At 47.7% G+C, this 25638-nt stretch overlaps 1 protein-coding gene across 6 annotated transcripts in view, besides 4 other annotated features; it reads right to left on the bottom strand.

Moving 5' to 3' along the window:
* Nucleotides 1-25638, bottom strand: part of SLC25A37 (solute carrier family 25 member 37) — a 46508-nt gene that overhangs the window by 6772 nt on the left and 14098 nt on the right. For 2 of the 6 annotated variants that reach the window (NM_001317814.2, NM_016612.4), the window contains 2 exons: nucleotides 2356-2584; nucleotides 314-370 (listed from right to left, as the gene is read on the bottom strand). In NM_001317814.2, coding sequence (NP_001304743.1) covers nucleotides 314-370; nucleotides 2356-2578 — 280 coding nt within the window. In that variant the 5' untranslated portion in view covers nucleotides 2579-2584. Of the gene's footprint in view, nucleotides 1-313; nucleotides 371-1878; nucleotides 2585-11698; nucleotides 11721-24688; nucleotides 24712-25480; nucleotides 25605-25638 lie in introns of those variants that run through there. The other 4 variants (NM_001317813.2, XM_011544550.3, XM_006716352.4 and 1 more) reach the window with 4 other exon arrangements.
* Nucleotides 9257-9316: a silencer, noted in NCBI's record as "silent region_19028". NCBI's record gives its function as "represses an Ori minimal core promoter by ATAC-STARR-seq in GM12878 lymphoblastoid cells {active_cell/tissue: GM12878}" and the evidence as "EXISTENCE:reporter gene assay evidence [ECO:0000049][PMID:35858748]".
* Nucleotides 9627-9716: a silencer, noted in NCBI's record as "silent region_19027". NCBI's record gives its function as "represses an Ori minimal core promoter by ATAC-STARR-seq in GM12878 lymphoblastoid cells {active_cell/tissue: GM12878}" and the evidence as "EXISTENCE:reporter gene assay evidence [ECO:0000049][PMID:35858748]".
* Nucleotides 15754-15923: an enhancer, noted in NCBI's record as "active region_27121". NCBI's record gives its function as "activates an Ori minimal core promoter by ATAC-STARR-seq in GM12878 lymphoblastoid cells {active_cell/tissue: GM12878}" and the evidence as "EXISTENCE:reporter gene assay evidence [ECO:0000049][PMID:35858748]".
* Nucleotides 17847-18348: an enhancer, noted in NCBI's record as "H3K4me1 hESC enhancer chr8:23407857-23408358 (GRCh37/hg19 assembly coordinates)". NCBI's record gives its function as "activates a minimal SCP1, AML or CMV promoter by ChIP-STARR-seq in naive H9 embryonic stem cells {active_cell/tissue: H9 hESC(naive)}" and the evidence as "EXISTENCE:reporter gene assay evidence [ECO:0000049][PMID:30033119]".

Here is a 25638-nt window from a genome sequence, read left to right as displayed (position 1 = left end):
TGGGATTACAGGCATGAGCCACTGCACCCAGCCTCAGAATTAGCATTTCCAACACCCCTCAAGATGTCTGATGCTGCTGGTCTGTAGAACACACTTTGAGTAGCTCCGAGCACAGGAATACCAAAAACTCTTATGTTCACGTCCTTTCTTGAGGCCTTTGATAACGTAGTAAAAAATTCAATTCTCCTGTCTGCTCTGACTGGAGACTAGGAGCCGCTCTGCCCACCTTCAGTCCTCTCCACTCTCCCACAACCATTTTTTGTGCCCCTTTGCACATCCCCTACTGCCCCTCCCTGGGACCATGAAACATTACCTTCTGCTGGATTCATTACCGCATCGTGGAGCAGGGTGGCCATACTCCCAGCTATCCCTGCAAAACAAACTCCAGAAAATTACCCTCTGCGATCGGGTGTTCTCAGGAAGTTCCTGGAACCTAAAATCAGACGGAACCCAGGACTTAGCTTTCTAAGAAGCAAAATGTACTACCAGCTCCGCCCAGGTGAGCACTGACTCTTAAAACCCTGAAGTGATGGTGGAAATATGATAAAAATGGGGATGGTTAATTTAGGCACACTCAACCACATTTTAATCTTGCAAAAACATGGTTTTCTTTCTTGTAGTCAACCCTGGGAAAAAGCTAAACCTGCAAGTGTTGGTGGTTCCCAGAAACCACACACCATGGCTTTTTCCACTGTCTAGATGTTAACTCTCTCTTGTCCCTCGCCTTTGTCTACACATTAACTCACTTTGCCCTTAAGCTGGGGCCCTGAAAGGAGATATCATATCTACAGCTGAGAAGGGGGAAAAAAGAAAATCTGGTTACAATCCAGGCTTTAAAAAAAAAAAAAAAAAAAAAAAAAAAAAACTGGGCAAGAGAAGAGGAAATCAGGAAAATCTGCATTTTGTAGATTTCCAGGGTCAGTCTGCAAAGCGACGGGACTGACCCCATCTGAGAGTCGGGTCAGGCCTGGCTTCAAGAACCAGGAACCTCAAAAGCCAGAATCAGGCCTGGAATTTTGCTTTCGGCTTTGAGTTTCCTCCCTTTGCGGTGACACTGCCCCGTAATTAAAATGACCACGGGAAGGTGGGAGGAATGAGGAACACCAGGATGACTCTTCAGCAATGCATGTAATACCCACTCCCCCACCACACACACACTTATAATCATTCCCAGCAAGATCACCACAGCATACACCACATATTGCAGAAACAGTGCAGGGCAGCACTTGGCATAAAATGGATTCCGTCAAATCTCTTTCAAGGAGTAAAACCATTACGTAAGGCAGTTTCAGCAAAAGAAGGGCCCCAATGTCATAGAATCAGGGGTAGGTCAGGGCATAGCTCTTTAGAGATCATCTCAATAAATGCACTAATGGCCAATTTTTACAAAGCAGAACAAATATCTGCAAACCAGCCAGGCACACTTATGACCAAGGTTGGGTAATGGGAGGAGAGATGCTTTTTGAGCAGAGTAAAAAGAGAGGGGGAGAAGTTATTGTGGGTCAAATCTATGTCTCCATTGTTGAAAAAAATGAATTTTGTCAAAATAAAAGTACTTTATGCTGCTATCCATATTTCCATTCCAAACCCAAACAAGAAACAATAAAAGCCAACCCCACTGGAGAGGAGAAAATAAAAGCTCAGCCCTCCCCAATAAAACATGCCTTACGTAAGAGCTGCTGGCAGATTTGCACCCCCCCACCCCGCCTCTCTCCCTCAAAACAACCAAACAAAATGATTTCAGCCCTTGCTTGCAGAGAGATGAGACTCAGACAAACAGAAGAGAATGGGGGTAAAATTCCCAGATCCCCGGAAGCTTAAGGTGGGAAAGGCCTTCTGCGTTGCGCGAGTCCTTTGTCAGCCATAAAACTTCTTGACCTTTTAAAGCTTAGTTAGATCTTGGCGTTGTAGAGACCTGTTGTACCAGTTTTTAAATAGTCTCAAAGAAGCTGTCCAGATAACTTTTTTTTTTTTTTGAATCCAGCATTCAAAAGTTTTGTTTCTATTCAGGGTTTCTCCTATGTCTGATCATTAATTGCTTTTGAATGTTTAAAAACAAAACAAACAAAAAAAAATACAAAAGAAAACCCACATAACAATAAAACCAAAACACCTCTGTCACTGATTTCTCCCCAGGCTTCAGAAAGCGGAGGGGAACAGAAAAAAGCATGTGTGTGCGCGCGCGTGTGTGTGCGTGCGTGTGTCTGGGTGTGCATTGCACACACAACTCTGAGTTCTTTATTCGTGAGCAAGCGGGCCGAAGTCGAGGCGGCTGGGTCACAGGGAGGAACACCCTGGGGAGGGACGTGTTGAAGAAGAGAACTTTCTAACTCCAGACAAACGCTTTCAAAATACCGTTGGCTAGGTGGCTGTTTCCTTGGTGGTGGAAAACGTCATTTAAAGTCCTTTTCATGTTTTCATAGCAGGCAAAATACATGGCATGGGCCGGCCCTGCACCCATGATCATGACGTTGACGCCTCGCAAGGGCCTCCAGAAGCCTTCGGTCCGCATGATTTTCTTGAGGGCTCCGTAGATACTTGTGTACTGGGCTTTGGGATCTGGACTCAAACTCTGCATTCGTGTCTGGGAGCGGGCAAGAAGAGAAAACAAACAAAAATAGAGTTAATCAGGATGGTAAAGAAGGAAAATAAGACCTGGAGAAGGAGAGAGAGAAAAACAATGTCATAGTTTCACAGGATTTCTCTGGGAAGGAAACATATTTGAAATCAAAATGAATTCTACATGGACATAATGAAATCTACATGAATGTGTGCACGTACATTTCATTATGCTCCATAAAGGGAGAAAGACAGAGAAGGCTGTGGAAGAGTAAGACCTTCCCCTGCCACTGGCAAGTTGTGTGGCCTCTGGGGAATCCCTAGGCCCTAAGACCTTCAGTTAAAACAACAGGGTTGTTGCAAGCAGCAAACCAAACAATGCATATGGAAACCCTTCAAAAACTCAGAGTCCTAGATAGATGTAGAATTGTCCTGTGGTGCCCACTCTGGTTGTGAAGACTTCTGTGTCCTCACTTATCTGAAACCTCCATGTTCTGGAAGCTCCTATTCAGTCCCTACACCATGAAATCTCTCCAAATCCTCCAGCCCTCACTTGCCTTGTCACCTCTAAATCCCTTTTTACATTTCATAAGTTGGCACTTAAATATAAATGGTCTTGTTCTTAATTTCTTTTTTTTTTTTTAAGTAAAAGCAAGTTTGTTAAGAAAGTAAAGGAATAAAAGAATGGCTACTCCACAGACACAGCAGCATTCTTAATTTCTTCGTATGCATAATTTTGTCTCCTTGAAGCAGAGACCTGGCTTTCCCCTCCTCTGTCATCCCTAGGACACCATCCAGGAGGGAAAAGCGCTTGCACAGGTGTGATGGTTAATTTTATGGGTCAGCCTGGATGAGCCACAGTACCCAGATATTTGATCTAACACTAGTTTAGATGTATGTATGAAGGGATTTTCTAAATGAGTTTAACATTTAAATCAGTAGACTCTGAATAAAGTAGATTAACCTGTATACTGTGGGTACATACACCTCATTTAATCAGCTGAAGGCCTCGTGAGAAAAAAACTGGGTCTCTCTCAAGGAAGAAATTCTGCCTCCAGACTGCCTTCAGACTCAAACTGTAACATCAGCTCTCCCTAAATCTCCAGCCTGCAGATTTTGGACTTGGCTAGTCCCCACAATCATGTGGGTCAATCCTCAAAGTAAATCTCTCAATTTCTAAGTAGGTAGGTACGTAGGTAGGTAGATCAGACAGATAGGTAGGTAGGTAGGTAGATTAGATAGGTAGGTAGGTAGACAGACAGACAGACAGAGACAGGTAGGTAGGTAGACAGACAGACAGACAGACAGATATAGATAGAGAACAGGCAGAGAGTTAGACAGATAACCTCTCTATGTAGCCGGATATAGATGTCTCTGTCTCTCCTGGTTTCTGTCTGCTAGGACCCAAGGAAGGTCTTCAACCAAAGGCTGGTCTTACAAACCCAAGTAGACTTTACACATCCTATTACCTGTTTCTCTGGAGAACTCTGACTAGTATATAGGCAAGAAATACTCGCCAAGTAGAAGATCCACCATGGCTCAGTCCCACCAAAGTCACTACATTCCCTCCTTCCTTCTTCCTCCCTTCCTTCTTTCCTGCCTCCCTCCTTTCCTTCCTCCCACCCTTCCCTTCCTCCCTCCCCGACTCCCTCCCTCCCCCACTCCCCCCCAACACACATCCTAGAGGAGAAGCTTTTCAACTTTTGGCAGGGGTATCCTTTTATCTCCAAACAAAATCATAAAAAAAATCTAATCCTACATATAAAAAAGGAGGGCTTCTCTGATTGAAGATGGGCAAAGGACTCTCTGGGGCTCCCTCTCACTCACCGGGACAGAGAGCCCCAGGTACCCCAGGGCTTGGAGGAACGGTGAAAACCAATCACCTGAATTAGTGGTCATTTTCATAGTTCAGATTTCACCAGCTATTAAAACCACAAAGGAAATGGACACACCAAGGCAAACTTTTTATTTTGCCCAGAAAGGACGCAAAAACAATAACAATATAAGCAACAATCACCACTGCCCTCCACCACAAACATGATTTTGTAAAAGAAAGGGCATTTTTAATGCTTAAAAAAAAGTAAGGAAGACTACCTCTGATTATAAAATGGTACTTTAAATTAGATTTAGCTTTATTTTTATTTTTTTCTTTGACACGGAGTCTCACACTGTTGCCCAGGCTGGAGTGCAGTGGCACAATCTCGGCTCGCTGCAACCTCCGCCTGCCACGTTCAAGCGATTCTCCTGCCTCAGCCTCCTGAGTAGCTGGGATTACAGGCGCCCTCCACCACGCCCAGCTAATTTTTTATATTTTTAGTAGAGATTGGGTTTCACTATGTTGGCCAGGCTGGTCTCAAACTCGTGACCTCGAGATCCACTTGCTTCGGCTTCCCAAAGTGCTGGGATTACAGGCGTGAGCCACTGCACCCGGCCAGTTTAGCTTTATTAAAAACTCGCTACTCTGCACCCTTTTTCCTACCACAGACTGGCAAAAACATCTTCTGGCCCAGCCCAAGGCAGCTGCCAAGACACCTGGGCCCCAGGGTCCCAGGGAGGGTAGCCCTGCATCCTTTCGTTTTTTAAAGTGATTTCAATTTTAAGTCTTTTCAAAAAGGATTTGATCTGATTTAATAAGATGATACATTAGGCTAGGTGTGATGGCTCACACCTGTAATCCTGGCGCTTTGGGAGGCCAAGACAGGAGGATTGCTTGAGGCCAGGAGTTTGAGACCAACCTGGGCAATATACTGAGACCTCATTTCAACAAAAAAATAAGAAATTAGCCAGGCATGGCGGCACACCTCTGTAGCCTTGGCTATTTGGGAGGCTGAGGTGGGAGAATCCCTTGAGCCCAGGAGTTTGAGGCTGCAGTGAGCTATGTTTGTGCCACTGCACTCCAGCCTGGGTGACAGAACAAAACCCTGTCTTAAAAAAAATTAAAAATTAAAAAAGGGATATATTATAAGCAAGAAAGACCAAGGGAAGGACGAGAAAGTGAATGTGCCAACCAAGAAGGTATCTGAACCAAGAGAATACCCAGGTCATGGTCACAACACCTCATTCAGCTCCCGAGTGGCTGTTGGCCAGACCAAACGAATGAAGATGTACACACCATGCCAAGTGTTCATGCTGGGAAGGAAGAGGCAAAACTCCTCCTTTAGGACATATGAAATCGCTCAAGTTTTAGAGCAAATAAAGCTTCACGTGTCACCTGCCTTCTTCTTATACTTGCCCCTGACAAAAAGCAAGGGTACCAGGTGGTACAATGTGGCTGTCAAGAACCCCAGCTTTGGAATCAGAGAGAACTGGGGCTGAATTCAGATGCCATCACTCATGGTGTGACCCTGGGCAAGGTCATTAAACTTTCTAAGTTTGAGTTTCCCCACTTGAGAGAATGGTTGGGAAAATTAAATGGGATAATATGTGTCTAAAACCATCAATATTGTCAGTAATAACACAAGAGTCCCCTGTCGAGGGGCTACATGACGGTGATTCATGGAGAGGCCAAGTGATAGGGTTCTAGTGTGTGACCTTCCAGGGTTGTGCAGGCCACAGAGGTGGGGTTGTGTTTGTCTTGTTCACAGCAGATCTCCAAGGACCAGTAAGATGATTTATTGGGAACCCAATAAATATTTGTTGAATGAATGAATTGATGAACAAACTAACCCAACTTAGAATACCCACCGGGGTGAAAGGGTACTGTGTCTTGTCTCTTAGCCCACCACCCCTAAATAGGAGCCACACTTTCTTGGACTTAGCTGTGCTTGCCATCACCTTTAATTTGGACCTTTTCACATCAATGCAAAGTTCACGTGTCACCGCATTTCTCAAGCCTGGGTGTGATCTGCAGAACCACATATGGAGCCAAGGCAACCTGTCCCAGGGGGCCTAACATGGGCCTGTGAACAAGAGGTGGCTCCAGGCAGCGCCCTTCAGGGGAGAGGCCCCCACACTTTGGAGAATGGCAGTGTATCTTCTTGGGGATGAGCCCTGGCTGGAGCCCTGAGGTTTCCAGCCAAGGGCAGGGTCCTACCAAGGTTTTGCAAGCCCAGCCTATGGTCAAAGGCCTTCCTTAAGTTCCAGAGCCCCATTGAGCAGGGCTGGCAGTCTGAACAAACACAGAGCATGGAGAACTGGCTACTGAGATCGCACTTTGGACCTGATGCTGGCTCTGGCTACAACCCAGTGACCTTGGTCACGGCATCTCATCTCTCCGGTCCCCAGTGTCCTGGACTGGAAAATGAAAGGGAGGATCAGAGCAGGGGCTGAAGATCAGAGTTACCCGGGAAATGTTTGAAAATACCCATCCATAGACACCACCCTAGCACACACTGATTCAAGTCTTCTTTTTCTTTTTAAAATTCCCCAGATGATTTTGATCAGGACTCAGCTTGGGGAACCACTAAGTGACCATCTAGACCCCTTCCAGCCCCAGCCCTCTGCCTGGGCAGTAGGGAATTACCCCTGGTGACCTATGGAGGGAGTGGCTGAGTGAGGGCAGGGGGCACAGAGAGTGCCCAGGCTGTACAGCCACCCAGCCTGAGGTTGTCAATCTCAATTCCAGCTCTGGGACCTCAAGCAGGTTCCTTAACCTTAGGGCATGGCCATCCTTGGCTGGAATAATCGCCCAGAGAGCTGCTGGGAAACACTTGGCACAGGCTGGCTGTCAATAATGACTGTCCCCATCCCACCCCATGATATACGTGAAGCCATCAAGAGGGTCTCTCCTTTACAAAACTGCTCATGTCAGCCAGTTGGAGGCTGGCATCACACCAAAACTTACAGGGACATTTGGGACTGATTTCTCACCCCCTCCCCTTTTTAAATTAGGGGTAGAGCAGTTGGAGGAAACACTACTGAACCAAAATGCATCATTCTGTTATGAAAAAAAAAGGTCAACTGGGTATCTTTGTGCTGTGAAAGAAAAATAAAACCTCAGGGCCCTAAACTCACTATGTCAAAGAAAAAGAAAGTTAAGCTTGGGAAGTGAGTCATGCAAAAACTGACCTTCTTTTTGTTCCCAAACAGACAGCTCTAATTTCATAAGCTTACTTTATCTTATGTAAAACGTAGATTTACTGAGTGCAAGACCATGATTCACTTTCCCCAACTCCCTTCTTTTCACATGTAAAATGCAGATTCACTAAGTGCTAATCAGAGCCTCACAAGAATGGTACCACTTGCCTAATGCCTACCCTTCCTTCTTTTATTTTTCTTCTCTCCCTCCTGCTTGCTCTTTCCCCTTTAAATACTGACGTTACCAGAGCCCTCTTTGGAAAAAGCACAGAACACAGATCCTACTATAACTTGTGTTTCTTTTCCCCGGTGCATCCTCAACCCTGATAGAATAAACCTCTAAAAGATTGAGTTCTGCCTCAGTCACCGCACCTCAGTGGACTTCTCTGTCCTCAGGGTGGTTTACTCAAGGGCAGGTCTTAGTTAATGACACAAGCCCCAGACAGAGGCAAGTGGCCCAGAAGCGCAGAGATGGGCCTGGTCAGGCCCCCGCTGGGACCACTGCAGTCACAGCAGCCAAGTTTGGGGCCAGAGCCTCATTCATCCTGCAGCACCATCATTTCTTCCACCTGCCTGCAGGGAGCACCCACTGAGGTTGGCACCAGGATACAGAGGAGAAAAAACAATGGGGAAAAACAAGGAAAGTGTATGATAACAGGAGGAGGAAACGAACCACCAGGGTGCCTCGAAGGAGTGTAAGGAAGAGGCAAGGAGGGATCAACCCTGCAGCAGCCTCAGGAGAGGCAAGAGAGGCAGAAGGCAGGCGGCTAGGAAGGCAGGCAGAAGTGGCCACAGCCAGAGAGACAATAATCAATTTAGTCTCTTTTTTATTTTTTATTTTTATTTTTTTAAGACAGGGTCTCACCTATCACCTAGGCTAGAGTGCAGTGGCACGATCATAGCTCACTGCAGCCTGAGCCTCCTGGGCTCAAGCAATCCTCCCACCTCAGCCTCCTGAGTAGCTCAGACTACAGGTGCGCACCACCACACCCAGCTGATTTTTGTAGAGACTGGGTCTTACTATGTTGCTCAGGCTGGTCTCAAACTCTTGGGCTCAAGTGATGCTCCTATCTGTGCCTCCCAAAGTACTCTCTTTTTTAAAGCTCCACTACCTGTAAAATGTAAAAATGAAGGCTGGGCATTTTCTATTCCTTGAGGATCAGAGAGGGGAAAAAACATCTGGGAGTGAGTGGAAGCAACTCAAGTGTCCATCACCAGATGAAGGGATAAACACGATGTAATATATCCATACAGTGGAATATTATTCAGCCTTAAAAAAGGAAAGAAAATTCTGACACAGGCTACAACATAGATAGTTCTTGACAACAGCATGCTAAGTGAAAGGAGCCAGTCACAAAAAGACAAATACTGTATGATTCCACTGATATGAGGTGCCTAGAGTAGTCAAATTTGTAGACAAAAAGTGGAATGGGGGTAGCCAGGGGCTGGGGTGAGGAGGGAACAGGACGGAGAGTTCTTGTTTTATGGGTACAGGAGTTTGAGTTTTGCAAGATGAGGAGAGTTCTGTGGATGCATGACACTGATGGTTGTGTAATAGTATGAATGTACTTAATGCCGCTGGACTGTATGCTTAAAAATGGGTAAGATGAGAAATTTTGTTATGTATATTTTACTACAATTTTTAAAAATACAAGAAAAGGAAGTGAGGGTGGAGAGGAGGAAAAAGGAAATGAATGAATCAGGATGCAGAGACAGGGCAGAGATTAAAAATAAACACACACACGCGCGCGCGCACACACACGCACACACACACACACAACCGGAGACAGAGAATTTCACAAATTTCTTTTCCTGTCCAGGTTTCAGTTCCTGCCCAAGACCTAGCTTCTAGTCTCCTCCTGTTCGGTAAAATCAGTTTCCACGTTTGCATTTTAGTTCTCCCCTCTTGGAAATGCATAAGCACATTACCATACTAAAGCCTCTGGGAAATCCTTCCGGAAAGAAACCTGTTTCACTTGGTTTTCCAAGGCACTTCCTAAACCTCTGTCTTTAGCAATGCAAGCCTTGTCTCATTTAATAACCAGAGACACCTGACCAAACACACGTGTGAAAACACAGCCGTAGCCAATGGGAACCTATGCCCTTGAAGCAGCAAGTGCCAAGAACATCCAGGTGTCAGAGAGAGTCAGAAAGACCCCTCTGGCAACTGTGTGGGGAGCAGGCCGGAGGCAGGTGGTTGTGTGGCTGGCCCCTGGAGGGGAAAGAGGGTGCCAAATAAGCAGCTGAGAGGAGCCCTCACGTGCTGCCTATGAATAAGCATTCCTCCTCTGCACCTGCCTGCAGGATGGAGAAACGTGTCCTGCCCGGGGAATCAAGAGACAAGGGTCTCTGGCCTGACACTGCCACTCCCAGTGTGACCTGAGCAAGTCCCCTCCAGCTCCAGATCTGCTCCAGGACAGTGAAACTCCCAGTGATATGAACTCTGTCTGTATCTGCATCCACTGTCTCCACAAACTCCTAGCAAAGCTAGAACAAAGTGAAGGGTCAGCCCCTGACACCAATTCTCCCCTAAGATGACAAAACAGGAAAGGCCTGTCTCACTGGCCCGTTCTCTCACTGCGGGGAGGAGGGAGAGTGGAAAATGCACGTTCTGTCCCAGGTGAGCTGGCGGGATCATGTAACAGAAGCAACAATGGCCCTAGGGAGACCACATCCAGCCCAGCCCCTGCCTTTTCAGATGGGAAACTGAGGCCCAAGAAGGAAAATGACTTGTCCAAGATCCTGTGGGTAAGGAGCCTCTGATCCAGGCCTAGGACCAAAAAAGAAAAGAGAAGGGGGCAAGCTGAGCCTGGTAGTGGGCCTCAGGCCCTTCTAGGGGTCCTGCAGAGGTCATGCCACCCAAGCCAGCCATCTGTAGCATCAGAAACTCAGCCACTGACTCCCTGCCTGACCTGGAGACAGCCTGTAACTCCCACCTCTCCAATCTCTCAAAAATAAAAAACTTTCCATGTTCGAAGTTCACGTGGCATTTCTAGGACTGAGGAGACGATCATGTGAAATCTACTCACTGGCTCATTCTAAAGCATTTGCCTTACACCTACCTTGAGCCAGGTGCAATGGGGATACAAACAGGAAACAAACAAGCACTGTGATACCATGAGCAGCACAACTCCAGGGGGGCCCAGGGCTGAGCCCTAGAGGCTGCTCCGCACCGTCTCTGTTCCAGACTTTCTCCCAGAGAAAGGAAATAAGGCTCGGGCACCTCGAAAGTTTAGGATAAATGCCAAATGTTAGCCTCTGCTGCCCAATGTCTGCTTCAGAATTCAAAATCAAACCAGTGTTTTCTCTTGTCTGTCAACTGTCCCCAGCTAGCACTGACATTCACTAAATAAACCACAGTAAAATGCGGGGCCAAGCCCAGCCCCCTCCCTGTTTTCCAAGCCTCACCCTGCAGCCCCCTGGCCAGCAGCTCTCCCATGTCCACCATGAGCCCATCCAGAGCTCTATGCTCCTGCTTCACTGGGGTCTGCTGAGGACACTCTCAAGACACCAAGAAGCCAACTCCCATCCACAATTGTCCAGAAAGGATCAGACCAAGGAGCTGGTTCCTGCAGAGCCCTCCCTCACTGAAACTCCACGCCACAAATCACAGCAGGAGGCCCAGGAGGAAAAGCATTTGGCACCACGCTTTATGGAAAGGACTGTCTTCCTAAGTAAAGCCACAAACCCCATCTAGGCCTTGGAAAGCCCTGTCTCACCTTCCAGCATCCTTAGAAGGCACACACTACAAATGCAGAAACCCAGACCACATCAAGGAGCACCACGCACACAAAAACCGTTGGCACTACCCGTCCAAAACCACCCGTTCCCCGTCCAAAACCACCAGCCTTCCTCACTCAAACCTGCTCCCTTCCTAGGCTCCTTGGCAGAAGAGGGACTCTTAACAGGGCTTTGGATAGTCCCACCCTGGCCCTTTGAAAAGCCATGTAAAAATCATGCAAAATTGGCCAAGTGTGGCGGCTCACACCTGTAATCCCAGCACTTTGGGAGGCCGAGGCGGGCAGATTACCTGAGGTCAGGGGTTCGAGACCAGCCTGGCCAACATGGCAAAATCCCATCTCTACTAAAAATATAAAAATTAGCCAGGTGTAGTGGCACACGCCTGTAATCCCAGCTACTCAGGAGGCTGAGGCAGGAGAGTCGCTCGAACTCAGGAGGTGGAGGTTGCAGTGAGCCAAGATCGCACCATTGCACTCCAGCCTGGGTGACAGAGCGAGAATCTGTCTCAAAAAAAAATCACGCAAAATAAGCAGGAGGACATCACTCAGCATCATTCCCACACGTCGCAGGCAAGAGCAGAGCAGCACAAATAATCCTTTAACTGCAGCTCTCAGAGTATAACTAACTTTATCCCTAAGTTGAAGTTTCCAAATCGTGTCTTTTTCTAACATCTCCCAAACTGGCAAAAATAAATACACAAAGAGAATATACATATAATACATATACATACACACACACACATATATACACACATATATACATATACACACATATATATACACATGCATATATACATATGTATATACATACATATACATATATGTATGTTTTTAATGAAAAGGAAAATTTGAGCTGGGTGCAGTGGCTCACACCTGTAATCCCAGCACTTTGGAAGGCCAAGGCAGGTGGATCACTTGCTGCCAGGAATTCAAGCCCAGTCTGGACAACATAGCAAGACCCCATCTCTTCAGAAAGTAATTTTTTAAAAAAATTAGCCAGGCATGGTGGGTGCCAGTGGTCTTAGCTACTTGGGAGGCTAAGGTGAGAGGATCACTTGAGCCCAGGAGACTGAGGCTGCAGTGAGCTATGATCATGTCACCGCACTTCAGCCTGAGAAAGACTCTGTTGCAAAAAAAAAAAAAAAATTGGTGCTCTTAATGTTTTGAAACCAGCAACAGAAAAATGATTCCCCTAAAAGTAGTCATTGCCCCCACTTCAAAAAAGTGGGGGATGGGGTGGGAAAACAAATGCCTATCAGAATACATGGCGGGGGACTCAAGCAGAGTTAGAAGAACATACATTCTGAAAAAAGCTTCCTGCTCATCTGAAAAGTCTCTGGTGAAAACTACCATTTTGGAACAAGCAAAGAGCCCAACCAGCTTGCTAGAAAGTCAGCCAGAAAAGCTATACCAAGACAAAATGAAGAGTTGAGACCTGGTGGAAAACACTTCAACTAAATCAGGTCTACGTGGCTTTCCCTGCCTCACCTACAGGAAGGCCTAGACTTCCTTCAGCGTTCAGGTCACCCTGATGTTGGAGGGGGGAGAAAGTGGATTCATATGTGTGAGAACAAACCATAAAGGCTCCTCTGTCTTTCCACCAATGTCCCCGAATGGTCCCAGTTTTCAGAAGGGTCACGTTTGTCCTTCTGAAAAGACCAGCCACAGTCTGACCTCCTGGTCATCTGCCGCCTCTGAAGTGGACCACAGAGGATTCCTGCCACCTGTCACTGATGCTCTCCAGACACAGTCCTGAAACCTTCAGGGTCTACTGGGGCTTCAGGAAGCACTGCTATTGCTAGGGGCAAAAGACTCAGTGAAGAGTTTTCATTGCACATTTGGTAGAAAATAACAATTCTGCTAAGATAGCAATAACCAAGTTCCTCAGCCTCCTAGGAGAGAAGCCCCAGCACCAAACCCCCCTTCTCCTTGGAATAGGTCACAGCAGGATGTGCTATAGGGTAGAGATCCAGAGTCCAGATCACATCCAACCTGGAGAAGGTGGCTGGAAGGAAGCCATTTGAACAGCCACCTAGAAAAAGGAAGAGTATGTCAAGCTGTAAGAATTAGAGCTGTCACTACAATCTCTTCTACACTATTTCATTTTGTGACTATGTACATATGTTACTTTGACTGGGAAAGAAAAAGACAAATTTGGCATGGAGAGGAAGAAAACAATTCCCGCTGCAGGAGGATGTGAACATGCTGGTGCATCTGGGGAATGAGGACCTGTGGCCGGAAGGTCTGGTGTGCAGAGAAGACAGCAGTCAGGTGAGGGTAGAGAAGCAGCCTCAGACTTAGGAGAGAAGCTGCCACCTTAGATGATCAATTATTGTTTGCTGGAAGAAAGGTAGGGTGGGGCTAGACCATGCAAGGCCCTGAATACCTTGCTGGAGTGTGTGGAATTTACTTTATGATCAGGTGTCTTCCATGGCTATGAATCGCACCCAACAGCAATATGATGGGAGCTATGAAAAGCCATGCAGTAAGCAAGACAGATGGGCTCTCCAGTATCTGAGAGAAAGCAACAGGCCGTGCAACAGAAGCCTTCCCTACCAGGCCCCTGGACAGGCTGGTCGCTCTCTCCAAAGCTACAGCTGCTTGCCAGGCCACCACTAACATCACATACCAGTTAGATTTCCCTCTCCGCCCACTGGCAGCAGCTCCCAGCCTTGCCTGTAGTTCAGAGGGTGCCATTCCCACATCCCCCGACCCTAGGAACCCAATCTGGTCTCCACCCCTTCTCTAGAAAAGCCTCCAATGGATGGAAGGGTCTGTGCCTGGCCCATGCCCAGTGTACCCAGAACACACCCAGAATATCCCATATGTGGCCCACCAAAAAGGATTAAGTTATCTCTGCCCTACAGGTGGGGCAAATTCCAAAGATGCCAGATAACAGGACTAAGATTTCATGAGTGCAACTGGTGACCTCACTGCGAGACAGAAAGGGAAGGGACTACCCTGGACTGGAGAGGGAACTGAGCTGCCAGTCTCTCCTGCCCAGCTTCCCTGTCCTGCCCTGCCCTGGTAAGAGGGACAGGGCCTGAGTCACAGTTCTTTCTCATCCTGCATCTGGCACTGATACATTGTATGGCCTCAGGTCAATCAACTTGCTTCCCTGAACCTTCAACCCTTCTATTTACAAAATAATTATAACAATAAAAACAGCAATATTAGCAACCAGTTATCCCCATTCCACAAATTGGGAAACTGAGGCACAGAGACCAAATGACTTGCCTCAAGGTCACAAAGTACAGAAGGAAGACTAGAAAGAAGCCAGGCGGTCGGCCAGAGTCATGCTGTTAACAACTAGGCTATCCTATCTCTCACAAAGGGATGGACGCTAAAGGATCCCAGGTGATCTTCAACTTCCCTTTTGTCCCAATATGCTCTGTTTCTACAACATGCTAAGTCCCATGGATGCCACCTCCTCTGTGCCTGACCTTGGGGAAGACCCTATGTCAGAGTCACCTAAATCCTTACTTGTTAATGTCCACAAAACCCCTGAGGACTGTGTCTATGCCCAGCTGCAAGAGTGTAACTTACAGGCAAAGTCAACAGCCCTGACCCGTGGAGGTCACACAACTTATCTGTTCCACAACCCTGGTCATCACAAGACTGGGCAATAGTGGTTGGTTCAATACCAACCCATTCTGTCTCCTAAAGAAGCGCTTGAGACATTAACCAGCTGAGGTCACAGAGGGGCATCTTGACAGACGAAAGCCTGGCACTCCGTCAGTATTCAAAGGCTAAGGCTGAAATATTCCAACAGTCACGGTGCTTTCAAGAGAGAACTGAATTCACTGCTAGTAAGCTAGACTACCCAGGGCCTCCCCTTGACTCTGCCAGCCTTGTCAATGTCACCGGCCCATAAACATCCCACTCATAAGTAAGGAAGAAATGCCTCATCCTCAAAATTGTTGGTTTTTTTTTTGTTTTTTGTTTTTTTCTTTTTTGAGACGGAGTCTCACTCTGTTGCCCAGACTGGAGTGCAATGGCGTGAACTTGGCTCACTGCAACTTCCAGCCCCCGGGTTCAAGCCATCTCCTGCCTCAGCCTCCTGAGTAGCTGGGATTACAGGCGCATGCTACCACACATGGCTAATTTTTGTGTTTTTTGGTAGAGACTGGGTTTCACCATGTTGTCCAGGCTGGTCTCAAACTCCTGACCTCAGGTGATCCACCCACCTCGGCCTCCCAAAGTGCTGGGATTACAGGCGTGAGCCACTGCACCCAGCCAAAACTGTTTTCCTTTTGTATATAGACACACTCACTGAAGCGTCACAAAGCTGCGCAGAAGAACAAATTTAACACAAGAGTCCACATCAAAGCACCGTACATGCACATCAACCCATGTGTGGGGAGATAAGAGGAGTATCCAGGCACCTAGAGTATGTTCACAGACTCCACACAAGGCTCCCGCCCCGCTCCACGCTGCAGCCCGGCAGCTCTGCCATCATCGGTTTTGCACGATGGGGCTCCCTGTGAGCTTTCTTTTGCTTTCAGTTCCCCTACCCCTCCAACCTCCCCAACTTTGTTCTGCCAGTGAGCAAACAGTTAGACTTGCCCGGGCTCCCCCACTGCCAGACTCGCCCCTCTGACCAACTTGCTACCATATTTTGCTGAAAATCCCAATCACAGAATCTCAAAGAAACTGCGTTCAACCACCCACCCAATGCTCAAAGACCGTCTCTGCCCATAAGTAACGTACGTTCTGGTTGGGGAAACTAGGTGCCATGGGGAAGGGGTTGGGATAGGATGGGAAGGGCGTCAAACAGTCAATAAAGACCTCCCAGGTAAGACAGCGTTCCTTCTGGGCACGTGGCCTGGGGTAGCAGGAAAAGCCAGAGGGACCAGCTTTGAAGCTCATCCAGTCACTCAACCATTATATAGAGAGCTTCTACCCCACGCCAGCCACATGCCTGAGAGCACAAAGACAACCCCGGTTTCCACCTACCACAAGGTCGAAATCCTATTCTATTTTTCAGCTATATGAACTTGGATAAGTAACTTAACTTCCCTGAACTTCAGTTCCCTCGTCTGTAAAATCCCCTAACCATGCTTCCTGAGATGAACGAGAAATCCTTGTATTCACCTAGTGGAGTACAGTAGGTACTCAATAAATGTTTATCTTCACCGGAACTATTTTTAGAAAGGCTCCAGTATATTCCCTACCTGGTAGGGAGAAAACCACCACCTAGGTTAATCAAAATGGCTTAAATTATCATTAAGAACCACAGAACTAGCTTAATCTTGCTAGAAGGTGTGGGTGTTTTTCTCTACTTGCTGATAAATGGCCTGTATGGCCCAAAGAACAGTATTGCAGGTTTGAATTGAATCCCTCCCATCGGACTACAGAAGAAAATGGCTAAATCAAACAATAGATCCTGGAGTCCCAGGAGGAGGCTACCAGCCACAGGGCACTGGTGTTGGGAACTCCAGGTCACAGTCCCTGCAGCATCACAAGGAAGGGACAGAAATAAAACCCCATCCTGACCCTAGGTACCCCCCAACACACCTTTCAGTTTCTGATGGAATATATAGGCCCAGGACCTCAAAGCTGGAAGGACAGGCTTGGAGACCCCTCTGTATCTAAATCCTAGCTCTGTTGCTTCCTCCTCAATGTGTGTCCTTGGGCGACTCACTTCAGTTCTCTGCCCCCGTTTTCTTATCTGTAAGTGGGGCTCCTAATGGCACCTACTGCCTAAAGTCTCTGTGAGGATTCAAGGAAAAGCCCTTTGCATGGGGTCTGGTGGACAGCTGCCTGCTGCTTTTATTTCTGCTTTTTTTTTTTTCCTTTGGATAAACAGCAAAAAAGACGTCATTCTTAGCAATGACGTCATTTTTACCAATTCCTTCCTGACTCACTGCCTAGCAGCAGGATCTGCCCTGGTTGGGAGCACTCTCACCTGTACTCACTAGACACAACACTGGGATGTGGCAGGACCACCTGAGCAGCCCTTCCCTTCAGCTGCCCCAACTCACAGAAGGGAAACCAAGGCCCCAAAGAGCAAGGGGACTCGCACCTGGTGGCCCCCTAAGGGACTCTGACCCCTCCCCATTCACCTTTCTTCACTAACCATTTCTAAATGGATGGCCTAGGCTGCTTAAATTAATCCTGATTATGTAACAAAGAAAACTTAGATAGCTGGCAGAGAGGTGGGGCAGGGAAATCACTATTATCAGTTTACACTGGCACAGAGGCCCAGACAAAAGTGCTCTGGGAAGTTCACTCACCTGCTCAGAGCCAAGGGCAGCTCTGGGGACCTTTGACCAGTGCTGAAGTCCAGGCCAGGGCTAGGCAGGGACCTTGAGGGCCAAGATTCCCGACACTGCTGACTGGTCTGGTGTGGCCAAGTTCATACTATGGAAAAGGCCCTCCCTGCTGCTGAGAGCTGGCTCGCCTCTGAACTATAGGGAGACCAGCCCTGGGGGCAACAGCCAGAGGCCGCCCAAGTTCAGCTATAGGACTGGGCACCAAGAAGCCCATGCTCCACAGCAGCCCTGGAGGACCTGGGCTCCCGCCAGCCCGTGGGTGCGGGCATGCTCTCTGGTCCCTTGGAATCTGGGTACTACAGGGCACAGATATTTACACCAAGTGTGTCTCACTAGACCAAACAGCAGTGCTCCCCAAACTGTACACCTAGGTAAGATGGACACAGCCCTGTTCCAAGTTAGAAGACCTAAATTCTGTCCAGCTCTGCCACCCAATCCCTCAGCAACTGCACAATCATTTCACCTAGCTGCGCGTAAGCTGTCCACACTGGACAGGCCAGGGAGCCAGGCACCTCAGAAACCCATGCCGTCTCCCAAGCCAGGTGTGGTCCTCCCAGCTTCTACAAATGCAGTTCCCACGCCCTTGGCGGAGGCCACACCTTCTAAAGCACACCCCGCTATTAGCCTATTATCCACAGAAGAAGGGATTTTTAAAGCAGTCCCGTCGCCAGCCTCCTCTTGCTCATTCCTCCACGTATAATTATACCAAGTGATGCGTCTGCATGTGACTCCCATGAAAGGTCAGAGAAACGTGAAGGAGGGCGGCAGCACTGTGATCTCGGAGCCAGCGCCATGCCATGCTCACTAAAACACGTGCTCAATAAATGACTACCACGGATTCAGAGATGAACTCAATTCCACCCACAGGCAGGTAACAAAGCGGGTTTTTGTTTTTTTGTGTTTTTTTTTTTTTTTTTTTTGAAACGGAATTTCGCTCTTGTTGCCCAGGCTGGAGTGCAGTGGCTTGATCTCGGCTCACCACAACCTCCGCCTCCCGGGTTCAAGCGATTCTCCTGCCTCAGCCTCCCAAGTAGCTGGGATTACAGGCATGTGCCACCGCACCCAACTAATTTTGTATTTTTAGTAGAGACAGGGTTTCTCCATGTTGGTCAGGCTGGTCTCAAACTCCCGACCTCAGGGGATCTGCCCGCCTTGGCCTCCCAAAGCAGGTATTTTAAGTCCTCCTCAAATTCTGCCTGCTGTGGATCTGTCTCCCCTAGCGCAATGCACCTGGCCACAGTCTGGGGCCCACCCCACAGGTTAACAGCTGGGGATGTAAGCCCCATCAAAGCTGGGCTCTGGAATTTAGAGATGCCAGGGGGCAAATGAGGGGTCCAAATTTCCCAGATCCTACCAAAGCCAGATTTCCCACAAAGGCTTCTAACTTGATAGTGACTAACCACGTGGTGCCAAGTCACAGCTCTAAGCCACAGCTCGAAGGGATGTTCTTTCTCCACACACCTTTCACCTTTCACACTGATGACAATCACAGAGAAAGATGACAGGACACCAGATGCACCAGGCTTGCCGTTCTAAGGGTCTCAGGGAGAAACACCAGAGGAAACAACCGCAAGACTCGACTTTCAGCCTCCGGGACCCACTTGCTGAATTTATGCTAGACAATAGGTACAAATTACTTCCGAAGCTTTTGGAGGAGTCAATTTAAGTTGTATTGGATGCAAAAGGTAATAGCAGGAACCTTCCATCATGAGTGAGATTTTTACGCTAAAACCCTCTCCCTGGAACCAAGAGCTCCGGCATACAATTTAAACCAAAGCCGTCTGGCCAGAAGGGTTTCCAAAAGTGAGAGGAGGAGGCAGGGACCAGAGATGAGTGACTCCCCAGACCACAGAAGTCTCAGCTGGTAAAACTACAGGATCGTTCTGCAAGAAAACGCTGCTACTACCTAAATGTCAGCGCAGTGTTAGGGGCTGCTGGAACTGAGGGAGCAGGTGTCGTCTTTGCCTTCAAGGAGTTTATAGTCTAGTAGAGGAGAGAGAGAGTACTAAAAATCCTATCGATAAAAAATTCCAAACTCTAAATGCCATGAAGCAAAAGTAGAAGGTGCAATGAGGGCAAATGCAGGGGGACCTCATTTAGATTTGGGGAGGGGTCCTGGCAGTGACCACTGAAGGTGAAGTTAGGGCAGAGGTAGTGACAGGTGGGATGTGGACAGAGGCTCCGAGAAGGCTGGTGTCACCTGAAGATGAGCCTGAAACGAAGTGTAGGACATACAGCCCATGCTGGGCCCTGAACACCAGACAGAGCAGAGAGAGAGTGTTTTACCCTTAATGCTGTGTTTCCATCTATATGGTCCTCATCTCTTGCCTTTGGCCAGGCGCAGTGACTCATGCCTGTAATCCCAGCACTTTAGGAGGCTGAGGTGAGCAGATCACCTGAGGTCGGGAATTTGAGACCAGCCTGACCAACATGGAGAAACCCAGTGTCTACTAAAACTATAAAATCAGCCGGGTGTGGTGGTGTATGCCTGTAATCCCAGCTACTTGGGAGGCTGAGGCAGTAGCATCGCTTGAACCCAGGAGGTGGAGGTTACAGTGAGCCGACATTGCGCCACTGCACTCCATCCTGGGGGGGCAACAAGTCTAAAAAAAAAAAAAAAAAAAGCCCGGACGTGGTGGCTCACGCCTGTAATCCCAGCACTTTGGGAGGCCAAGGCGGGTGGATCACAAGGTCAGGAGATTGAGACCATCCTGACCAACATGGTGAAATCCCATCTCTACTGAGAATACAAAAAATTAGCTGGGCGTGGTGGCACATGCCTGTAGTCCCAGCTACTCAGGAGGCTGAAGCAGGAGAATCGCTTGAACCCGGGAGGCAGAGGTTGCAGTGAACCGAGATCGCGCCACTGCAGTCCAGCCTGGTGACAGAGACAGACTCCATCTCAAAAAAAAGAAAGAAAGAAAGAGAGAAGAAATGAAGTGAATATAAGAGGAGACCGTTTCTCACTGCGAAATCTACAGGAAATGCAAAACACCATGGCAGGGAGATGCTGCAGGGAGGCTCCCCAGCTCCCCAACCCCATCATTCCCACGGATGCTCCTCTGGAATGATGGGCTAACCCCATCTGTGCTGCTGGCAGTGCGGGGTGACCTTGGCCATGCCGGCTGACCCCTGGATGACTCAGCTTCCTGGTAGTGAACTTGTGAAAGGTTCTGGCAGGAAGGAGTCAGAGAGCTGTAAACAGAGCCTTCCAGAAGCATCTGCCACACTTCTTCCCTTGATTCCAGGGCGGGGCTGTGGCCGTTCAGCATTTCTGTAATTGCCCGGATGGATGATTTGCAGTCTTGAAGTGTTGTCGTTGGAAGTTACAAGTATGTTAAATAAACTATCATTTATTTCTAGGCAGACACCTTGGAATGCAGGGGCCCAACATGGTACATGGGCCGCTGGTCCTTCCCACCACTGCTCAGCCCCTCTGCAAAATTCCACAGCAGGGTCTTCCTAGCTTCCGCTGCAAAGCAAAAGTGCTTGTGAGCCTGTATTTTACACCCAAAGTTGAAACAGGGAGTTAAAGTTACACTGCCCTGTGAAAAGAAGGAGTGGAAATTTTAGAACTGGTGAGTTCCCGAGAGAATCATGTAGTGTTAGTTCAATCTTGACATTTTATAGACAAAGAAACTTAAGATGTAGACAAGTGTTTTTCCCAGAGTTGCTTGATTGGTGGGCCCCTGGTCATCTCAAGCTAATTACAATTCACCCTAAAATGCAAATCCAAGACTTATATGTGTGTATCTACAGAAAGATCTGCTTTCGCCTTGCTTCTAGTCCTTTCCTTCCCTGCCCTCCAGTCAAGCAACACCATGAATGGTTGGTTCTGGATTGACAAATGTTCTCTGTGGCTCTCCCAGTCCCTCCCTTACACTCGAGCTACTCAGGTGAGATCCGAAATCTGTTTTCAATTTCAAATCACTCACTTCTGGTAGAAGCCCAGCTTTGCAGTAACTTGTGGGTTGTAGGGTCTGAAAGAGAATTTCAGAAACTTCCTTATGATTGATTTATCAGAAAAAATGCAAAAGATTCTTGGAAGAGACCTCAAGGGAATTTGAAAACAAGAGTTCTTATCCAAGGCCAGGCAAAGCGTCACCAACCAGCCTGCTCCCAACTCCCAGAAGCCTGTGGGGGGAGCAGTGCTAATTCCAAGGATAAACGGAACCTGCCACCACCTAACATTGTACTAATACGCACTGCACCCCAACCCCCATAATAGCAAATTACAGTTCTAACTCCTTCTCTACTTCCTTCCAAAATTTGAAAAAAAAATTTAAAAACAAATAAGTAGCTAAGAGTCATTCCAACTTGTAGATGAATTTTTTTCTTGTGATTTTATCACCTGCACAATTAAAAGTCATTTCTGAGCTGATATTTTTGAAGCTCTAAGGGCTAAATACAAATCTACCTTAATTTTCTAAGTAAGGCAATTTAACACTTCACCCTTCCTGGCCCAAATATATATATATATACACACACACACACACACATACACTATATATATATACACTATATATATATATATATATATATATACACTATATATATATATATATATATACACCTATATATATATATACCTATATATATATATACACACACACCTTAAAATTCAGTTATTGCCTGAGAAGCCAAGGTTCAAGAAAAAAAAATTTTTAAGCACAATTTCATTAACAGAGAGATCTCCAGTCTTACTTATGTACACTTGAGGTTTCTAACTCCTTTCACAGATAACCCTTCTCCCCACACAGGTCATTTTCTGTTCTTTTATTTATTCATTTTAATATTTTTAGAGACAGGATCTTGCTCTGTCACCCAGGCTAGAGTGCAGTAGCATGATCACGGCTCACTGCAACCTCAAACTCCTGGGCTCAAGCAATCTTCCCACCTCAGCCTCCTGAGTAGCTGGGACTACAGGTGTGCACCACCACACAAAACCAATTTTTTTTTTTTTCTTGAGACAGAGTCTTGCTCTTGTTGCCCGGCCTGGAGTGCAATGGCATGATCTCAGCTCAATGCAACCTCTGCCTCCCGGGTTCAAGTGATTCTCCCGCCTCAGCCTCTCAAGTAGCTGAGATTATAGGCATCTGCTACCACACCCAGCTAATTTTTGTATTTTTAGTTGAGACGGGGTTTCACCATGTTGGCCAGGCTGGTCTCAAACTTCTGACCTCGTGATCCACCCGTCTTGGCCTCACAAAGTGCTGGAATTACAGGCATGAGCCACCGCGCCCGGCCTATTTTTTTATTTTTATTTTTAGAGTTAGGGTCTTGCTCCGTTGCCAAGGCTGGTCTCGAACTGCTGTCCGCCAGCAATCCCCCTGCCTCAGCCTCCTGAGTAGCTGGGATTACAGGTGTGAGCCAGAACACTCATCTACATTTCCACAGGGCATTTTCTATGCTTCTATCCTGACCATTTCTTCTGAGTGACAGCTTGGCATTGTCTAACCACCCTGAAAAAGGCCCACACACGTGCTCCTTCAAAGCACCCAGCAAAGAGATTTTGTAACAAAGACCCCCTGTGCCAGGGAATCAGTGGACACACAAATAGAGAGGACAGCAGGTCTGTGCCCGTCACCGCACTGGCCTGTTGGAGAAACAGGACTCGGTTTCCAAAGCTGTGAGATCCAAGAGCTTCTGTCTACACCCTGGACTATCATGGACTCCAGTGGGAAAGTCCCCAAGCTCTCATCTCAGGCCCTTTACCAAGCCCAGCTGACTGTGCCCCTGGCATTTGATAGCAGGCCATCTCTGAGAGAGGAAGGCTACAAGGAAAGAGAGAGGACAGGAAAGTGTCCAGCTCTCCAGTTACCTTTCAAAAGAGACAAGAAGTGACACACGAATCTGAGCCTCCAGAGCAGGCCCTGGTACTACAAGATCCCAGGTCCATCTCTGACCTTTGGAAGGCACAGTTGTCGCCTACACCATCCTCAAGTCTCTCTTTGCCCTACAAGTTGTGACCTGGACCAGGAAAGCTCACTCAGGCAAACCCTAAACCTGCACACGTCACATGAGCATGTTTTATTTTTAGCAACTTACCTGGCCACTGCTCCACCAGCCCCTACTGCCACCTATTATGAGCCAACGATGAGCAGAAATGCCTCTGATGTGACCGCTTAGCCTCCCTTCCTCCTGTTTCCACCCTCCTCGGGTCCTTAGTTCGACAGTGAAAGTTCCCACCTGGGAGGAGGCTGGGCTTCTCTGAAAGCCACCAGGCAGTCAAACAGGGAATTAAGATTTCAGAACAGAGAGGAGAAGAGCTGCCACCTGATGACCCCAAACCACAGACACTTTCTCAGCTCAGAGCAGAACCCCAGATTAGAGTGTCAGTGGCATGCAGGCACCCTGGGGATGGCCAGGCACCTTGGAAATAGGCTGTGATGTTCTCAGGGACACAGAGAATCATACAGTTTAGTTGTAACATCCACATCTCCTTCAGGTCTAGATAGAGATACTGAGATATTCCTTCCTCGGGGGGCCTTTCCCAACTCCTCCCCGTGAGGTGCAGGATCCCTGAAGACTGAGCTCATCACTCCTGAAAGGAATGATTCATTGGAGATCTGTCCTTCCTGCCACAGAGGGGCTCCCATGGGGAATGCCTGGGTTGTGTCAAGCCTCCGTCTCCTTAGTGCCCAGCACCCACAGTCATACCCCATAGGCCCCATTCCTTAATTACAGTCACGCATCGCAAATGACGGGGATATGTTCTGAGATATGCATTGTTAGGTGACTTCATCCTTCTGTGAACATCACAGAGTGTACTTACACAAATTGAGAGGGGATAGCTACCGCACACCTAGGCTGTACGCTATAGTGTGTTGCTCCTAGGCTACAAACCTGTACAGCATGCTACTGTACTGAATACTGCAGGCAACTGGAATACCATGGTATTTGTTATCTAAATGAATCTAAATATACCAAAAGTACAGTGAAGGCTGGGCGCGGTGACTCACAACTGTAATCCCAGCACTTTGGGAGGCTAGGGCAGGTGGATCACTTGAGGTTGGGAGTTCGAGACCAGCCTGGCCAACATGGTGAAACCCCATCGCTACTAAAAATACAAAATTAGCCGGGCGTGGTGGCACACACCTGTAATCCCATCTACTCGGGAGGCTGAGGCAGGAGAATTGCTTGAACCCGGTAGGCAGAGGTTGCGGTGAGCCGAGATTCTGCCACTGCATTCCAGCCTGGGCAACAAAAGTGAAACTCCGTCTCAATAACAAAAAAAAAGTACAGTGAAAATACCACATCGTTTTTTGCTGGGCGCAGTGGCTCACGCCTGTAATCCCAGCATCTTGGGAGGCCGAGGCAAGCAGATCAAAACAAGGTCAGGAGATCGAGACCATACTGGCTAACACAGCGAAACCCCATCTCTACTAAAAATACAAAATTTAGCTGGGCGTGGTGGCAGGCGCCTGTAGTCCCAGCAACTCGGGAAGCTGGGGAAGGAGAATGGCATGAAGCCAGGAGATGGGATTACAGGCATGAGCCATCACAACCAGCCAAAAGATTTTTTTTAATGGTACACCTGTGTAGGGCATTTACCATGAATGGAGCCTGCAGAACTGGAAGTTGCTCTGGGTGAGTTTAAGTGAGTGGTGGTGAGTAAATGTGAAGGCCTGGGACATTCCTGTGCACTACCGTAGACTTTAAAAACACTGTACACTTAGGCTACACTAAATTTATTTTTTAAACTTTTGCTTTCTTCCATAATAAATTAAATTTCAAGGTTGGGCGTGGTGACTCATACCTGTAATCCTAGCACTTTGGGAGGTCGAGGCAGGAGGACTGCTTGAGGCCAAGAGCTTGAGACCACCTGGCCAACATTGCGAAACTCCTTCACTACACCAATTTAAAAATTAGCTGTGTGGTGGTGCGCACCTGTAATCCCAGCTACTCAGGAGGCTGAGGAGGGAGGATTCCTTGTACCCAGGAGTTCGAGGCTGCAGTAAACTATGATCTCAACACTGCACTCCAGCCTAGGCGACAAGGCAAGACCCTGTCTCTAAAAAAAAAAATAAATAAAATTAATTAGTTAC

This window comes from Homo sapiens, chromosome 8 (genome assembly GCF_000001405.40).
Source record: "Homo sapiens chromosome 8, GRCh38.p14 Primary Assembly".
Taxonomy (NCBI): domain Eukaryota; kingdom Metazoa; phylum Chordata; class Mammalia; order Primates; family Hominidae; genus Homo; species Homo sapiens.
The sequence above is the reverse complement of the archived record's forward strand: the minus strand, read 5'-3'. Positions and strand labels throughout refer to the sequence as shown.